This window comes from Homo sapiens, chromosome 2, assembly GCF_000001405.40.
Source record: "Homo sapiens chromosome 2, GRCh38.p14 Primary Assembly".
Classification (NCBI taxonomy): Eukaryota; Metazoa; Chordata; class Mammalia; order Primates; family Hominidae; genus Homo; species Homo sapiens.
The window spans coordinates 59,263,709-59,282,207 of NC_000002.12; the positions used below are offsets into that span (position 1 = coordinate 59,263,709).

General features: G+C 36.3%; 2 long non-coding RNA genes across 7 annotated transcripts in view; one reads left to right on the plus strand and one right to left on the minus strand.

Annotated features, from left to right (window-relative positions):
- Positions 1-15,692, plus strand: part of LINC01793 (long intergenic non-protein coding RNA 1793) — a 61,693-nt gene extending 46,001 nt beyond the window's left edge. Inside the window, exon 3 of the long non-coding RNA NR_110219.1 lies at positions 13,824-15,692. This is a non-coding gene — a long non-coding RNA (long intergenic non-protein coding RNA 1793). The remainder of the gene's footprint in view (positions 1-13,823) is intronic.
- LOC105374754 (uncharacterized) overlaps positions 1-18,499 on the minus strand; it is a 150,795-nt gene that overhangs the window by 24,995 nt on the left and 107,301 nt on the right. The window lies entirely within an intron of this gene.

Genomic DNA, 18,499 nt, shown 5'->3' on the forward strand with positions numbered 1-18,499 from the left:
GCCCAAAATCTCCTTAAGCTGATAAGCAACTTCAGCAAAGTCTCAGGATACAAAATCAATGTGCAAAAATCACAAGCATTCTTATACACCAATAACAGCCAAACAGAGAGCCAAATCATGAGTGAACTCCCATTCACAATTGCTTCAAAGAGAATAAAATACCTAGGAATCCAACTTACAAGGGACGTGAAGGACCTCTTCAAGGAGAACTACAAACCACTGCTCAATGAAATAAAAGAGGATACAAACAAATGCAAGAACGTTCCATGCTCATGGGTAGGAAGAATCAATATCGTGAAAATGGCCATACTGCCCAAGGTAATTTATAGATTCAATGCCATCCCCATCAAGCTACCAATGACTTTCTTCACAGAATTGGAAAAAACTACTTTAAAGTTCATATGGAACCAAAAAGGAGCCCGCATTACCAAGTCAATCCGAAGCCAAAAGAACAAAGCTGGAGGCATCACGCTACCTGACTTCAAACTATACTACAAGGCCACAGTAACCAAAACAGCGTGGTACTGGTACCAAAACAGAGCTATAGACCAATGGAACAGAACAGGGCCCTCAGAAATAATGCCACATATCTACAACTATCTGATCTTTGACAAACCTGACAAAAACAAGCAATGGGGAAAGGATTCCCTATTTAATAAATGCTGCTGGGAAAGCTGGCTAGGCATATGTAGAAAGCTGAAACTGGATCCCTTCCTTACACCTTATACAAAAATTAACTCAAGATGGCTTAAAGACTTACATGTTAGACCTAAAACCATAAAAGCCTTAGAAGAAAACCTAGGCAATACCATTCAGGTCATAGGCATGGGCAAGGACTTCATGTCTAAAACACCAAAAGCAGTGGCAACAAAAGCCAAAATTGACAAATGGGATCTAATTAAACTAAAGAGCTTCTGCACAGCAAAAGAAACTACCATCAGAGTGAACAGGCAACCTACAGAATGGGAGAAAATTTTCGCAACCTACTCACCTGACAAAAAGGGCTAATATCCAGAATCTACAATGAACTCAAACAAATTTAAAAGAAAAAAACAAACAACCCCATCAAAAAGTGGGCAAAGGATACGAACAGACACTTCTCAAAAGAAGACATTTATGCAGCCAAAAAACACATGAGAAAATGCTCATCATCACTGGCCATCAGAGAAATGCAAATCAAAACCACAATGAGATACCATCTCACACCAGTTACAATGGCGATCATTAAAAAGTCAGGAAACAACAGGTGCTGGGGAGGATGTGGAGAAATAGGAACACTTTTACACTGTTGGTGGGACTGAAAACTAGTTCAACCATTGTGGAAGTCAGTGTGGCGATTCCTCAGGGATCCAGAACTAGAAATACCATTGGACCCAGCCATCCCATTACTGGGTATATACCCAAAGGATTATAAATCATGCTGCTATAAAGACACATGCACACGTATGTTTATTGTGGCACTATTCACAATAGCAAAGACTTGGAACCAACCCAAATGTCCAACAATGATAGACTGGATTAAGAAAATGTGGCACATATACACCATGGAATACTATGCAGCCATAAAAAATGATGAATTCATGTCCTTTGTAGGGACATGGATGAAGCTGGAAACCATGATTCTTAGCAAACTATCACAAGGACAAAAAACCAAACACTGCATGTTCTCATTCATAGGTGGGAATTGAACAATGAGAACACATGGACACAGGAAGGGGAACATCACACACCAGGGACTGTTGTGGGGTGGTGGGAGAGGGGAGGGATAGCATTAGGAGATACACCTAATGCTAAATGACGAGTTAATGGGTGCAGCACACCAACATGGCACATGTATACATATGTAACAAACCTGCAAGTTGTGCACATGTACCCTAAAACTTAAAGTATAATAATAGTAAAATTAAAAAAAATAAAAAAAGATTAAAAAAAAAAGAACTAGTTTATCAATCAGAATACCTGGGTCTAGTCCTGGCTTTGCGTGAACTACTTTGATCTTTGAACTTAGTCAAGTTACGTAAAATCTTCTTTAAAACAGTTGTGGAGTTTGAGTAGAAGAACTAGGCTTCTTTTACTTTAAAACCTCCATTACTTTAAAGTTTTGAATTATGAACTAGTAAATATTATAAGATCTATGTATATGCCAATTTTACCCATGTTAAATAAGGTCCCCACTACTTATTTTCCACTACAGGAGGACAAAAATGTAATGTAGAACCATGGTTTGATTTTCCTAGACTTGCTGAGAGTTCCTCTCTACCATGGTAATGAGTAGAAGTGACCAGTTTTCATTATTGCATAGATTAGAATAGATGATGCTAGAAATAGTGGAAACTATAGCAAAGTAGAAGAGGAGGTTAGAGAAGTGAAGAGGCTTGCAGAAAAGTTTTGTTTTTCAGCCTATAAAAAGACAATTTTAGCCACTCAGCTGGGCCTTTTACATCAAACGTCTGAATCAGAGTAACAAGTGCATATGTACTAATGAAAAATTTCCTGAATAGAGGACCCACTACATTATTTCATTAAATTAGAAATACAAAAATAGCTATTTAATAAATTAAATCACAGTTTTAACAAATATTTACTAAAGAATCATGAAGTATTGCCTTGGCTTCTAAGATGACTAATAGGGATTTTCAACTTCGCTAAGCTTAGTTCTTTGTTAGAGGAAAAATCTTAGTGCGATATGACCAAGAACGCTAACCCTTGGAGTTCCAAGGGGTCTTTATCTCAATTGCTTTTAAATAGTGTTAGGCGTGCCCAACCAGAGGAACCAAGGTGAAGAAGAAGCTTGTGTGGACTGACTGTCGGGCTGACTGATAATTCCTACTGAGATACACTTCAATGCCATCCCACAACAAGATGCTGGGATTGGATTTAAAGCCAATGTAAGCTTTAAATGGAGTTTTACTGTGAAACAAAACACCTGTCTTTCATCCCAAGCTAAATTGACAAGCAATAATTTAGTTGTCTAAACTGAGAGCTTTCAGGATTCCAAACTGCATAATGTCAAAAGACAATGTATAAAGTTGCACTTGGAAGTTCAAAGGTAGAATGCCATGTAGGCAAACATATTATATGACTGGTCTTTTCCTCTCTCTCTTTAGTCCTTTCTTCTGTCCCCTCTGCCAGTTTCCTTTGCTACTATTTTTTTGGGGGCTGGTGAGGGGCTGGTGAGGAATGTGGGGGAGAGAGATTGTAACTATGCAAATTGGTGAGTAGGTGACAACAAAAGCATTTTCTCCCTTTTACTTTCCACAAGATGAGCACTTCCTGTGTTCAATTGAATTAATCAGAGATTGCATCTACCAAATAGAAATAAAAGGAAAGAAATAAAGAATACTTAAGCAAGATTACTAAAGTCCTCCCTACATAAATGTAAAATAATATAGCCTGAATTTTGTAGCAACTTTTTCCATACAAATTATTCTGTTTCTTCTATCTTCCACTTCAGTTGCATTTGTTAAAATCGGGGTACCTGACATCGGAGAGGCTAAATTTAGTCCCTTACACGTGACAACATTTTACACTTGTCCTTCAATAATTTCTTTTTAGGATAAATAGTAAAAGTAACCATGGCCTTTCTTTCTCCAAACTAAAATCTCTCTCTCTCTCTCTCTCTCTCTCTCTCTCTCTCTCTCTCTCTCTCTCTCTCTCTCTCTCTCTGTCATCCACACACACAGGGTATTTCTTTTACTTTTTTTTTCTTCTTTTGAGGTTCACAAGCTATCTTTTCTTCCATCTTCTTTCCCAAAAGAAAAAATGAGGGAAGCAGGGTCGATTAGCAAAATGAAACAGATGCTGATACAAAAGTAGTGAGCTAGTTCTGATTGGACTTTGCCAGCTGTCAGTGAGCATTTCTGTGTTTTGTTAATGAAGTGGTATTCACTTTTCTGGACTGGCATTGGCTGACATGTTTAGTGTAATGAATGCTAAACTGAGCCTAGATCATTTTTTAAATCATAGCTTAGGGCTTAACAGCCCTTTAAATGAATTCTATAAACAAGATAGTTGTTAATTCTCAATCAATGTATCACTAATCATCAAATAGTATTAAAACAAGAGATGGTCTTTTACAAACTCAGTAAACCTTATTAAAGTTACCAAATTATCCATTCAGGGGTTATTTTCTCATTCAGAGAATGTCAAGATTTGAACAGAAATATATTTGAAGATACCTATTTCTGTGGATTAGTAAAGGAGATGTGTGTTTGTGTGTGTGTGTATAAATGTGTGTGCCTTCATAAATTAATATGGCCTCAAGAAATGAGTAACTAACATAGCCTTAAATCTGAAGTCATTAATAAAAATGTAAACTGTATATCACAGTGAGTTCCATGTGTCTTTAGTTTGCTGACACCCACAAGCAAGCATTTCATGAGAGGAACCTAAGTATGGTGAAAACTAGAAAAGTATATGTAGGCTATTCTTTACAACAACAACAACAACAAAATTCTCCCTTTTACTGTGACACTATAACAATACAGGCTATATTATTTTGCATTTATGTGCAGTGTTTTAAAATTCATCTACAATTCCGTAGACTCAACACTTGGGGAGTAGTATAGTGATTCTAGCTCACCCTATCTCTTCTACTGTACTGCAACTCTGCTTTACTTTCTCATGGAATACTAAAATAGTGCCTGGCATACAGTACATGGTAAATATTTGTTTCATAAATGAACAAATGCAGGTGGAAGATGAAAAGAGATGTCAAGGCAAATAACATTCATTAACTATCTTTTATTCTCAATGTTAAGGTGTGTTTGGGACCTATTATTTAATTCTAATAGCAATCTCATTAGGTAGGTAGTATTATTCTCAGGTGTAATATTTAATTTTGAAATTTAATTATATATAAACTTATATTCAAATACACATTTAATATTATTCTAAAATGTAATTTCTTAATTGAATTAATTTAACAGTTATATGAATAATATTTAATATTTTATGTATATAGTTTTAAAAGTCAAATGATGATCAAAAGCTTACAATGGTAGTTTTCGCTCATTTACCCCTCTTCCTCTCCCTTTGAGGCCAGTTTCTCCAGAAATGTATTCTTCAGCTTTTTGTCTAGGGGTATTATGATGTTTGAAATGCCTTACAAAGGAGTGACAAATTTAGCATATGTCTTCAGAAGAAAGGTAATACTAGAAGTGTGTTGACAGATAAATGAGATTTATCCCTAGTTAGATGAGGGCAGAGAGGGACAATTGTAAATCAAGGGAAAAGCAAGTACAGGGATTAAAAGTTTAGAAGTTTCTGGTATGTTTGTGTAGCTGAGAGTGTAAGATGCTTGTATCTGTTGGCTAGATCAAGGAATATAGGCATCGGGAATGAAGCTGGAAGGATAATCCTTGACCGTTGCGTAAAGAACTTAAAATGCTATGCTGATAAATTTGTATTTTGTAATGTATGTAGAAAGCGAAGCAAAAGCTTAAGAAGGCACCACATCCATATTTTAGAAAGATTTGGTAACATTGTGGAGAAGGGATTGAGGAGGGCAGGAATTAGAGTTAAACCCCCTAGTTAGGAGGCTATTACAGTCACCCATGCAAGATGTATAGAAGACTTGAATTGCAACTATGTACTGATTGTGGTCACTGCTGAGGCCCTGGCAAACAGCTCAACTCTCACCCCTTCATTAGTAACTGAATTCCAACTGTGTTTATGCATCCATTTCTTGATGAGGCACTCACATCCTCAGTTCAGGGATAAATCCAGATTAGTCCAAGGAAATTATAGAAAATCCACTGAATTTGTTAGTGATTGGCTGAGGAGCATGCATGTGACAGTCTGATCAATGGGATGTGAGGGGAGTTTTGCTGAAAGCTTTTGAAAAATATTTCTTCATTTTATAAAGAGACACTGGTCTAGATAGTTTCTCTTCTTCCAATGGATATATTCATGCTCAGATGCAGTATTTTAAACTATGACAAAATATCTGACCATGTGGGAGAGCAGAAAGAAAGAATCTGGGCTTTTTATTACATTGCTGTTTGGCTGACTTAATTCTTATTCTTTCCATAGCACAAAATTTTCCTTTATCCGAACTAGTACACCACTTCTCCTCCTCCTCCTCCTCCAAATAATACCTGGCATTTAGGCAATATTATTATGTGCCAAGCATCACCTAAGACAGCCCTATAAAGGAGATTCCATGGTTATCAAGGGATAATAGAGAAAGACAGGGTGCAAGTTTGAAAAATGTATAAGAAGTAACATCAATAAGTTTAGGGACTTCATATATTAGATAAAAGACAAGATATCAAAATAATTATACATTTGGTTTTTAATTGAGTGACATTGGTGAATGGCGCTAAGATTAACTGAGCCTGCAAATAGCAGAAGTTTTGGATTACAAATTAGAAACACTATGTTGTTGAGTTTAGGACTGGTTAAGAATGTCTGGAATAAGTTCAATAGTTGGGGATGTGGGATCAGAATTTTTAATTACTGTTTCATTGTCATGTCTGTAGTGGGTACTTAGCAAATGCTTGTGCAATAAAATTAATTAATAAACTATTTCTGAATATATATAGAAAGAAGCATTCTCTTTCTCCTACTACCAACTGCCACCACCTCACTCAGATGAATATATAATCAAACGTGAATGGAACAAAGAGTGAGAATATAAAACATCACTGAAGCAGGCTTAATCTGATGCACATGTAGTGAATAAATAGCAATGATGAAATCTTTTATTTTTCCAAAGATCCATTTGGTGTATTTTTTACCCATATGAATTCATATGGGTAAAAATTCATATTCAAATATGAATTCAAAGTCAAACAGAAATCATAAATATTTTAATCTCTTTGCTGGTATTTTCAGTTAGCCAACTAACAATTAAAGCATCCCACAAGATAGTTTTTTCAAGTGCTTTGGGTATTTTCTTCCTGGAAGCATTAGCAGTGAGGGCCAACAGCCCTATGATACTTTGGGAATGACAACTAAGTAACAACATGGTGCACTGATTCATCTGTCACCATCCTTATGTTTTAGGTGCTTGTGGCAGAGATGTAGGTGAGACCACCAAGAAATGTACTCTTGAACAGTAAAGTGTTTTCTTAAAGTGAGCTAACTTATTGCAGCAAACGAGTCAAATTGAGGGGGAAAATAACGTACTTTAGAAGTGAGACACTTACTCAAGCCTCAAGGGCGAATACAAAGTGAGAATCAACTACTGATGATCAATAATTCAGTTAGCCAACTGCTTTGTCCATGTACTCATTTATTCAAATTATTTGTTTATTTGTGTACCTTTACTGATCATTTCTAATGTGCCAAGCACTCTGCCTATGCACAGGTTTGCTAAACTAAACATGATTTGAAGATAGGAAATGTCTCCCAAATTCTCAAAGCATTATAGAGGGTAAACAGCTTTTTAGGGTGAAGTGAACTGCCCTAGACCTAGGGAAGAGTGAAATAGCAAAAACATACATGGCCCATGGGATTCCTGTGTTGCAATCCACACAAAGTACATGTAAATGGCCGCTCAGCTGAGTGACCAGGTGACTCTAACAGACTTGGTTCTCAAAAGTACTGACAGTTTATTCAGGTAATCAGTAAATAAATTATTATTATTATTATTATTGTTTTTGAGACAGAGCCTTGCTCTACAGCCCAAGCTGGAATGTAGTGGCGTGATCTCAGCTCACTGCAACATTTGCCTCCGAGGTTCAAGCAATTCTCATGTCTCAGCCCCCCAAGTAGCTGGGAATACAGGTGTGCACCACCAAATGAGGCTAATTTTTGTATTTTTGATAGAGATAGGGTTTCACCATGTTGGCCAGGCTGGTCTTGAACTCCTGGGCTCCAGTGTTCCACCTGCCTTGGCCTCCCAGAGTGCTGGGATTACAGGTGTGTGCCACCACACCCGGCCTCAGGTTATCAGTAAATAAATACCCAACCACTGGTTTGACAGTTGTTTCATTCAATTAGTTGGCTTTAAAGACACTGAATATCTTTGTGGTTTAAAAAAAAATGATCCAGATTCAAATCCTGGTGTGACACTTTCCATCTGCATGTCTGTGGTTAAGCTTGCTATTATATTTAGTTACTTTACCTTCTCACATTTAAAATGATGATGAATATGACAACCACCTAGAGTGATACACAAATTACACAGTGAATGTGAAAGGCTAAGCATAGCATGGAGTACAAGGTAAGGGCTCAGCTAAAAGTAATCCATGTAATTAGTTCTGTTTTGTCATAAGGTTGGTGCAGTTTACCTTAAACATGTATATACATAGTATTTGACCAAGAATTTCTGGTAGCAGTCTACTTTTGTTTTTGTTTTACCTTATAATTCACAGGCAGTTAGATATTACCAGTGGTATGGATTTTCACCATTGCTTTTCAGCTATTATTACTCTAAACAAGGAAGAACTCTGAAAAAAGGCTAGAAATTATTGATTAGTAAAAGTAAATCCTAGGTAATCAGTTCCATTTGGTGGGTACTTCATTTGCTCTGTTTCACAGCCATGGGCAAGATTATAAGTACAGTACCTTGATCAGAAATATTTCAACTATGAAAAAACCAAATGAGTACAAAAAATGTAATAGCAGATTTAGGCAGTATAAAATTAATGCTGGAATTCAAATATATTATTATGGAAACAAGCATTTTATTTCTTTGTGCTGTGTCATTTTCTTTCTATTGGCTTTGGCACTTGAGTCCAACGGTTGTTGCCTTATGATTATAAGGTGGCTGCTACAGCTCCAGGCTTTATTTCTGCTTTCCAGACAAAAGAATGACAATTCTTTTTAACATTGTGAAGTTTTATATTTTTGTCCCAGGAGTCTTATCCTCTTTGGCAGCCTTTCAATTAAATCTTGTAGGCCAAAAGTGGGTCAGTCAATATGACCATCATTACACTACGAAATTTCAATAATTAATTTAGACCAAGGGGATAGGTAATGGCCTATCCAGGGACTGTCACTTACTACCTGAACTGAAAGGGAAGAAAAGCAGCAAACAGCTATTGGGAATTGGGATGAGAACAGTCTTCCATACTCCCAAGAGAAACTATGTTTGGTTTAAAATTAAGGACAATTAGAGCACTTACATTACAAATGGGATGACCTTGGATAAGTTATTGAGCCACTTAGAGCATCAGTTTTCTTATATGTAAAACAGAAAAAATAAAAGCAATCTGAGAGGTCTGAAAGCTTCTGGGCCCATCCCGGCTGATAAATAGTTTCTCAATAAATGTTGGTTTTCCACTGTGAAATGTTGATCAAGTTTACTTTGAAACTCTAAATCTCAGTTTCTTCCTCAGTAACATGGGTTTGATAATAGTGAAGCAATCTTGGAAAGCATTCAACACAGCTTCAAATAGTACAGCTCAATGATTGTTAATCATGATAATGGAAGATGATCAAGATAATGATCCTGATCTAGGCTGGTTAGTCTATTTTTGTGCTCTTTGAAAATCCAAAGAAAAATACTTGGCTGAAAATAGTTCCACATCTTTGAAGCCCTACTCCAAGGAAGACTTCTTGGGGCTTTGAAGGATCCTTAGTCATTGAGAATTTTTTCCTTAAATTCAAAAGTAGCACTGAAGGTAGGTAGTCCTTAATTTTGTTGGCTGCTATCAGTGAAAACTTTAAAAGGGGTGAATAAGAAGTATTTGAGTCTTTTCTGGATCTATTTATTTATGAGTTTAGTAAAAAGACATGGAAAATATCTTTTTCTCCCCCACTGTCTTCCCACCACTCACTCTGACTATAGAGACTATAGATCTAAGAAAATTCATTTACAGGAGCTCCAGTTCTCATGAAACAAACTCCTTCAAATACAATTTTTCTGTTATGATTTTAATAATTTGTTTCAGTAGACCCAGAAGAACTGGCTTCTGCCTCAGGCTAGTCAAGCCCACCCAGAATTGTCACAGGTTAAGCTCTGGACTGCAAACTTTGCTAACATGGAATTAAGGAACAATGGATAAAAGTGTTGTCCTCCTAAGGGATGTTCTGAGAGTTCCTCTTGTCTTACTTCTTGGGAAGCTCTGGAAAGTGTTTTGTTTCTTCTCCTTTTCCCCTGGTCTCCTTTTCCTCACATCCCAACAATTATGTCACTTTTTAAATATTTCAAATGAAAAGACCCCTTTCATTCATCATGGTGCCTTCATGGTGAGGAGCTCTTGAAGCCTGAGAGTTTCATAGAGGATTTCTCTGAATAAAATCTGAGAATCTGAGAGCATCCCTTAAACTCCAAGCTCAGCTGCCCGGGACTTCTAAAATTGGAGGAAGAACCAGATGGAGTGAAAAAAGGAAAAATGTAGCAAAAAAAAAAAAAATTAAGGCACTTGGGCTTTCTAATGTCCTCAATCTGCTTCTTGTCTTGTGTTTCCTATTTTGCTTTCTTTAACTTCTACCTTCCTCACCCCTCTGCAGGCCTGCAACCCAAATGGTTACTGTTGGTCAATTCTATCATAGTAGAACCTCACTCAATCCCTATAGCATTGCTTCCTGGCTGCCTCTCCCTTAGTTCAAGTGTGGAGAGAACCATTGCAGCCTTCCCTACTTCCCATCATTCTGCTGGCCCCAGGGCCCCCACCCCAATGGAAGACATTTTCCTACAAGTACAAGGTTATCCCCAGCCCACAATCTACATCCTCAGCACCTCCCTCTGCCTGCACAACTGAGGTTGCTGAGCACTACATGTAAGGTTTATTATGATATGTCTCTATCCTGCTTCTCTGCACTTATGTCCTGCTCTTTCTCCATCTTACTTCTACGTATAGCCACTCTCATCTTGATACTATAGGACTTTCCTTGCCTGTGTGTTCTGTTGGAGTCCTGTGCTTTATTGCCTTCTTTGTTTCAGGGATCACCAATCCAATTTAATTTTGAAATCCATCTGAGCTCCTCTTTTTACCTAACAACCTACAGCCAGTCCATCAGGAAATAACATGAGCTCTACCTTCATAATATGTTCAGAATATGAACTCTTCTCAGAGCCAGAGCATAGCCATAAGATGGGCTCCCCCTGTCCCACTCTCTCCCCCATACAACCCACACTTGCTTGACCCTCTCCTGCATCTCTTCCCACTGTTCATTCCAATGTCTTCTTCTCAATGAGCCAGCCTGACTGACTGACCATCTCATGCCCCATCCCCACATTCCTGATCCCCTTATCCTACTCTACATCTTTTTGTTTCCATAGCACTTGTCATCTTATAGCATCTTATATAGCATTCTATATATGTTGCTTTTTGCCTGTCTCCCCACCCCCCACCTTAGAAGATTATTGACTTTTTGAGGTTGGGAATCTCTGTGTGGGTTGAATGAAGGATTGTGCAGGAAGTGATGATAGATTTTTTCTTTATTTAACACACATTTCTATGATGCTGATCATATGCCAGGCACTATTCCAAACACTTGCCAAACTTAACTTATTTAAACTTAATACCAAACCCATAAGGAAAGTTATATTATGATCTCCATTATACAGGTCAGGAAAACAAGGTATGGGGAGGTGATATGGCCTGCCAGGACACATGTCTGGCCAGGATCACAGCCAGGATGTAAACACAGGCAGTCTGTATCCTGAGTCCTTGCTCTTCACAGTGACACCATTGGCCACTCATGGTGCTATTCTGAGTAAATGAATGAATGGATGCTACTGTTCACTACCCTTTTCCTATTCAGGAAGAGTTAGCTTCTCTGCCTTAGTACTTACTATATTGTATTATAATTCCCCTCTACCTCTAGGCAGTGAGCCCTTTGAGAGTAAAGAATGAGTTCAGGAACTGGCCCAACAGAGGACACCCATGAACATTTGCTGTCCCGAGTGGAGCTGAAGGAAAAAGAGTCATGAATTGTTTGCAGTGTGAACTTTAAAGAATATAAAATGCAAAATGCTCCAAAAATTGGGATAGGCTATTTGGAAAGGCAAAACAGCAAAACAGAGTTTTGCTGTTACTCAAGGAGAGACATTTCCTTGCCTGTCTAACAAATTTTTTAGACAGATTGTATTATCCTAAACATGAGTTTGTTAAAACTTGAATATACCTAAATAATGAGATTGTCAATGATTAAAAAGACAGGCCTGGTGCAGTGGCTCATGTCTGTAAGCCCAGCACTTTGTGAGGCCAAGGTGGGTGGATCACTTGAGCTCAGGAGTTCCAGACTAGCCTGGCCAGCATGGTGAAGCCCTGTCTCTACTAAAAATACAAAAATTTGCTGGGCGCAGTGACACGAGCCTGTAGTCCTAGCTACTCAGGAGGCGGAGGCAAGAGAATTTCTTGAACCTGGAAGGCGGAGGTTACAGTGAGCCGAGATTGCACCACTGCACTCCAGCCTGCAGTGATACTCTATCAAAAAAAAAAAAAGATTAAAAAGACTGAAAAAAAAAGAGTACATTTCTCCAATAGTACCTGTCTTCTTTATTTTTTTTATTATTGTAAGTTACTGACTATACTAAGTGACTATTTGATATTATGAGGAAATATATTCATGAGATGGGCAGTGTTCATTCACTTTTTCACATTCTTAGCCACCCAGTAGGAGGCGCTGTGCTGAGCTCTGCAAAGGGTACAAAGAGGGCTGCTGCACACTCTATGCAAGTGGTGGCCTTCTCCTTGGGAAGGTGAAAATAACAGGCATTAAAAGGGATAGACGAACTCCAAGTAGTTATATCAACAATAACAATAATATTGGCAGTCACTCTACTAATAGCTAACACTTTAAAACTCTTTTGACTTATCAGGTATTGTGCTAAAATCTCTAGATTCACTTCTCTATTTAATTTTTATAGTAATCCAGTAAAAATCCTATTAATGTCCCCATTTTATAGATGAAAAGACTGAGATTGTATAGAACTTAAGTAATATACCTAGTGACATAGTGTCTGAGCTGGGAAATGGCCCTAGATCTAATGGACACAAGAGTTTATGCTCTAAGATTAAATGTATGAATGGAAAACCCAGGAGCAGGAAGAGGGAGGGTTGCTAGGTCATGCAGTATGTCTCAAACCGAGGCAAAAAAACAAAACAAAACAAAACAAAAAACAGTTTTTAAAGGAATTAATAGAAATAGTCTGAAACTATTATGATTAATTATTACTTTTTTCACTATGATGATAATGTTGAAATAGTGAACCAGAACTTTTTATCTTCTTACCTATGTAAAGAAAAGGTATTTGGAGTCTTAGAGATTATTCTTTTGGATTCTTTTTTGTCCATTTTCCTCTAGCTTTCTTCTCTTTCCCTTTTGCTGTCTAATATTGATGCATTGTACTTCCATATCAGATCAAAAGCATATGGGATTTTGAACTTATTGACACTGTTCTGTTAAAAATTACATTTAGAAGCATGTTAAAAGGTCACCTCTCTGGTTACTTATTTCTTGACACTTTGCTAGCACGGACTGTAGCCTTGGTTCATTAGTCAAGGATATTAACAGCCAGGGTTCGGCTTTCTGAGGTCACGTGGTACAGTCTGGGCCCACACATATTTCTAAGGCTTGTTAGAGTCTTTATTCTTTAAGAATTACCCATTAATCTCTGCCCAAGAAGTGCAATAATAGGTTAGTTAGTCATCAGATACAAATCAGAATCATTTCTACAAGTGCCTTTAATAGCATTCATTAGTTCTGTGCTTATGTTTTAAGGGAAATGAAGGTAGGGGAGGAAAATGCCCCCTCTCCAATACTGAACATTTTCCTTCTTTAAGAGCATCTCATTTTGGAATCATTGAAATTAAGACACAGAGAATGTGCCAAATCAAATGCAGAAAGTGTGCTTTTCCTGTGGAAATGAGGGCTCCTACAATACTGACTCCTTTTTTTTTTTTTTTTTTTTTTTTTCACAGAGAGGCATCATCTTTGATCATCATCAGATTTTACAACTCATTGTTCCCTTCCAGTCCACAGGGTGAGAGAATCATGTAAATGGTCAAACAAACACTTGGATTATAGAAGACACTTGATATTAATAATGACAATAAAAATGTTTACCTAACTTGGATAGATTTTGTGTATAGATAGGATGTGTGTGCGCATGCACGAATGTGTGTGTGTGTGTCTGTGTGTGTGTGTGTGTATACTCCCCCCTTACTGGGAAAGGACATATCAGAAGATCAGGAAATGCATTACACAATTTTTGTATGCAATATTAGTCCATTTCTTGGCGGAGACCCAAATCTATTGTGGCGAGAAAGTAATAGATGAACTAACTAGGGACTCAGACTTACTGGCTAGTGTCCAAGAAACATTAAAAAATTGAGTACTGAACATAACAAGTAGGATGGTGCATGCAAATTTAGATGTCTTATTGAAAACAGCACATTTATTAATATATTAGACTTGTAGACGTGAGGGTGTTTTAATACCTACTCAGAAATTACTCATGGGTCGGCTTCACAGAAATATCACTTGCATAAGTGTGAGCTTCAGAGAAATGGTGCCAGGCATGAGTGATCATGGCTGGACTAATCTAAAGAAAACTGGAATGCCTGTAGTTAATGATACTATATTTTACACGTAAAAATTTTTAAGAGGGTAGATATCATGTTAACTGTTCTTATCACAATGAAATAAAAATTTAAAAATAAAACTGATTAATGGGCAAAATATGTTATTGTCATTGTCAAACTGTCATCTTTCTTCCTAATTCCTTAGAAACTGCTTAACATAACTTTATTTGATGCCTACTATGTGTCAGGCTATTTTCTAAGACACTAGAAATATCCAGATAAAGTAAAAAGATTAAAAGCATGATTATATAGGAACTACATTTTTGTCAGATTTATTTAAGATAGCATTTATGTACAGTAAAATGTACCCTTTAAAATGTACAGCTTGAGGAGTTTTGACAAATATATACAGATATATGACCATCACTACAATCAATATACAAAACTTTTCCATCATCCCAGAAAGTTCCCAGCTGATCTCTGTAGTCAATGCCTTCCTCAGACCCCCAGCCTCTGGCAACCACTGATCTGATGTTTGTCCCTGAAGTTTTGCCTTTTCCAAAATGTCATATAAATGAAATCATACAAAATATAACCTTTTGTGTCTGTTTTCTTTCACTTAGCACAATGCTTTTGGATCCATCCTAGTTCACACCTTTTTATCACTGAGTGGTATTTCATTTGTTTATACATTATTCAGTTGATAGACTTTTAAATTATTTTCAATTTTGTCAACTATGGATAAAGCTGCTGCAAGTATTTGTATACAGGTCTTGTCCATTGTGTGGGCTTATATTTTCAGTAGGCAAATACCTGGGAGTGAGATTGCCAGGTAATATGGTAAATATATGTTGAACATTGTAAGAAACTGCCAGAGAGCTTTTGAAATGATTCTACCATTTTGCTTTCTCACCACAATGAATGAGATTTTTAGTAGATCTGCATCCTTGTTGACATCGCCAGTCATTTTAATTTAAGCAATTCTAATCAATATGTAATGGTGTCTCATCACAGTTTTTCCTTGCATATTGCTAATGACTAATAATGTTGAGTACATTTGTATGTGCTTATTTGTCAACGAGGTCTCTTCTTTGGTAAAGTGTGTGTTCTATCTTTTGTCCATTTTTAAAAATTGGGTTTTTGTCTATCTTACTGAACTCTTCTGTGAATTTAAATATTGTTTCCTAATGTGTTAAATGAAGATAATGCCTATCTCACTGTTTTGTGTGTGTGTGTGTGAAAATAAATGAAACATATGTACAATTGACCCTTGAACAACTTTGTGCGTGCACTTACATGCAGATTTTCTTCCTTCCCTGCCACTCCTCAGACAGCAAGACCAACTACTCCTTTTCCTCCTCCTCCTCAGCCTTCTTAATATGAAGATGATGAGAATGAAGAGCTTTATGGTGATCCACTTCCACTTTATGAACACTAAATATATTTTCTTTTATGATTTTCTTAATATTTTCTTTTCACTAGCTTACCTTATTGTAAGAGTACAGTATATAATATATATAACATATAAAATATGTTAGTCAACTATTTATGCTATCAGTAAGGCTTCAGGTCAACAGTAGGGTATTAGCAGTTAAGTTTTAGGGATTCAAAAATTGCATGTGGGTTTTCAACTGTATGTGGGGCCAGTGCCCCTAATTTCATGTTGTTCAAGGGTCAACTGTATACAAAAATCTGTAGCATAGTGTCTAATTGTAGGTGTTACATAAATAACTACTACTCCACTTCTATTATTGTAAAATATAATTCCATTTGTAAGATACATACTATCTAGTTAAAATCAATATCCTTTCCTTTCTTCCAGGTAGTGTCCCATCCCAAACCATTCAGCATATTACCTTATCCTCAACTAACCTTTAATAAAGTACTAAATAGTAACTAAGACATTGCATGGTAACAGATAATCCAATAATCCCTGCAGGGCGATCTTCATTATTTAAAGACAAATGTCATCTAAAATCTTGAGGAGTGGGGCTGTGTTGGTTGAATGACCATTTGGTGCAGTTGATTTGTAGTGAGATGACTTCAGCTGGCGAATCTTTTTAAAATTGATACATAATAATTGCACATATTTATAGGGCACATGTGATATTTTGATACATGCATATAAAGCATAATGATCAAATCATGGCATTTAGGTTATTCATCACCTCAAACATTTATTATTTTTTGTGTTGGTAATGTTTCAAATCTTTTCTTCTGCTATTTTGAAATATTCAATAAATTATTATGAACTGTAGGCACCCCACTGTTCTATCAAACATCAGAAGTTATTCTTTCTATTGGCCATTAGGGCTTTCCTTTCTTTTTGTTGTTGTTAAACTGCTCTATTTCATTAGTGATTAGAGAATGCACATTAAAACAATTACTCCCTACCCTTTTACAAGTTTTAGACAGGAATTAAAATCTGATAACAAAGGGTTCTTGAAAATGTAAGGAAGTAGAAATTTCTATGCCTTATTGATGGAGGTGCTAAATTGTTAAAAGAATTTTGGAGAAAATATTGTCAATGATGGAAAACTTTGAAGATGTCCATTTCCTACCATCCATTAATGTCATTTCCAGATACATACTTTGGAGAAATATTATAAAGAGACATGTTCAAGGGTGTCCCTGCAGCGTTATGGACATGAAAAAGCATTCACTTATTTTTTTTACCACTAACTAATATGTTAAAAAACAATTTCTATCTCTAATTAGACCTTTAGCCTTTCATTTTTCTGCAAGTTACTTTCCAGAAAAATCTACCTTGCCCTGTTATGAACTGGCCTTCTTATCTGTCACATTTTGAGAGAACCAGGATCACCTAGGAAGGTTTCTACTACCTAAATAAATTCAGTGTTGTGCACAAGAAAATCTGCACTCCACAGGCAAATTTGAAAAAGAGTCTGCAAGAAGTCTTTAAGGAGCAAATTGGGAAATTTAGATAATTTCTTGCTGAAGTGCTTAATATCTGGTAATATGAGTACTTGAAATATCTTTGAAATGCCAGTTGGGAAAGGAAAGAATGAGATTTTCTGGAGTATAACCTTGAGACACCAGGGCCCTCAAATAAAGAGTTTGCACCCTCTGGTTCCCTTTCAAAAAGAGAAATAATCACACAGTACACGGTAAGTTCATGTTAAGTACTGGTCAAAAAAGGGCATCGATACACCTTCAGAAACATCTTGTATATCTTCCAAATTTCCACATGGAGTCATATAAAAATTATTGGCATTTAGTAATTTAATAATAAACCCCAGGTCTTGAAAGCACCTGAATGATTTAAAATATTTGGTTTTCCCCAATGAGCTAATTAAGCAAAATTTTGAATAACATAATTTGAAATAATAAATACTGGATTTGGAGGAGTCAACCATGTTATCAAGAAGATTTTATACATGTCCATTTAGCACAACTTCAAAAATATAGATAATATGCATCTCTAGCAAGGTTGTCAAACCAATATACCCATACATTGCTAGAACCAAAATATACTGTGATATATTATTAAATATTATTGCCAAGAAGTAGAAAATGTGCATGCTATTTTGCCCAATAATTCTACTTGCATGGCAAAAAAAAGGAACCAGGTATATTCTTCAAGACGTTTATGCAATATTATATTACATAAAAATGTTATGAAGAATGTAATTCCACAATATGGTATTAATTAAATTATTGAGCACATCTAATTACTTGAATATTATGCAGATCTTCAATATAATAAATTGAAACAATATGTCAACAAAAGTGAAGGACTTGATATATATAAAAATGCTGTTCTGTACTATGATTAAAATTATGCCAAATTTATTAATTCACGTGGACAGAAATTTGAGAGAAAACGGTAAATAGTAGTTCACTTTTTGGAATGGTTTAGGACCATTGGTAAAGTTATTTCTTTTATTTTTAACATTTTATTACTTTAGTTTTTCATGTTATTTTAAAAGAAATAACTTCACATACGACACCTTATTCCTTGAGCATATTGGTTTATTTAGAGCTATGCCTCATCCCTCCACACAATGGCCAACATTAATGTGAGTTTTCTGCAGATATCTAGCGCAGCATAA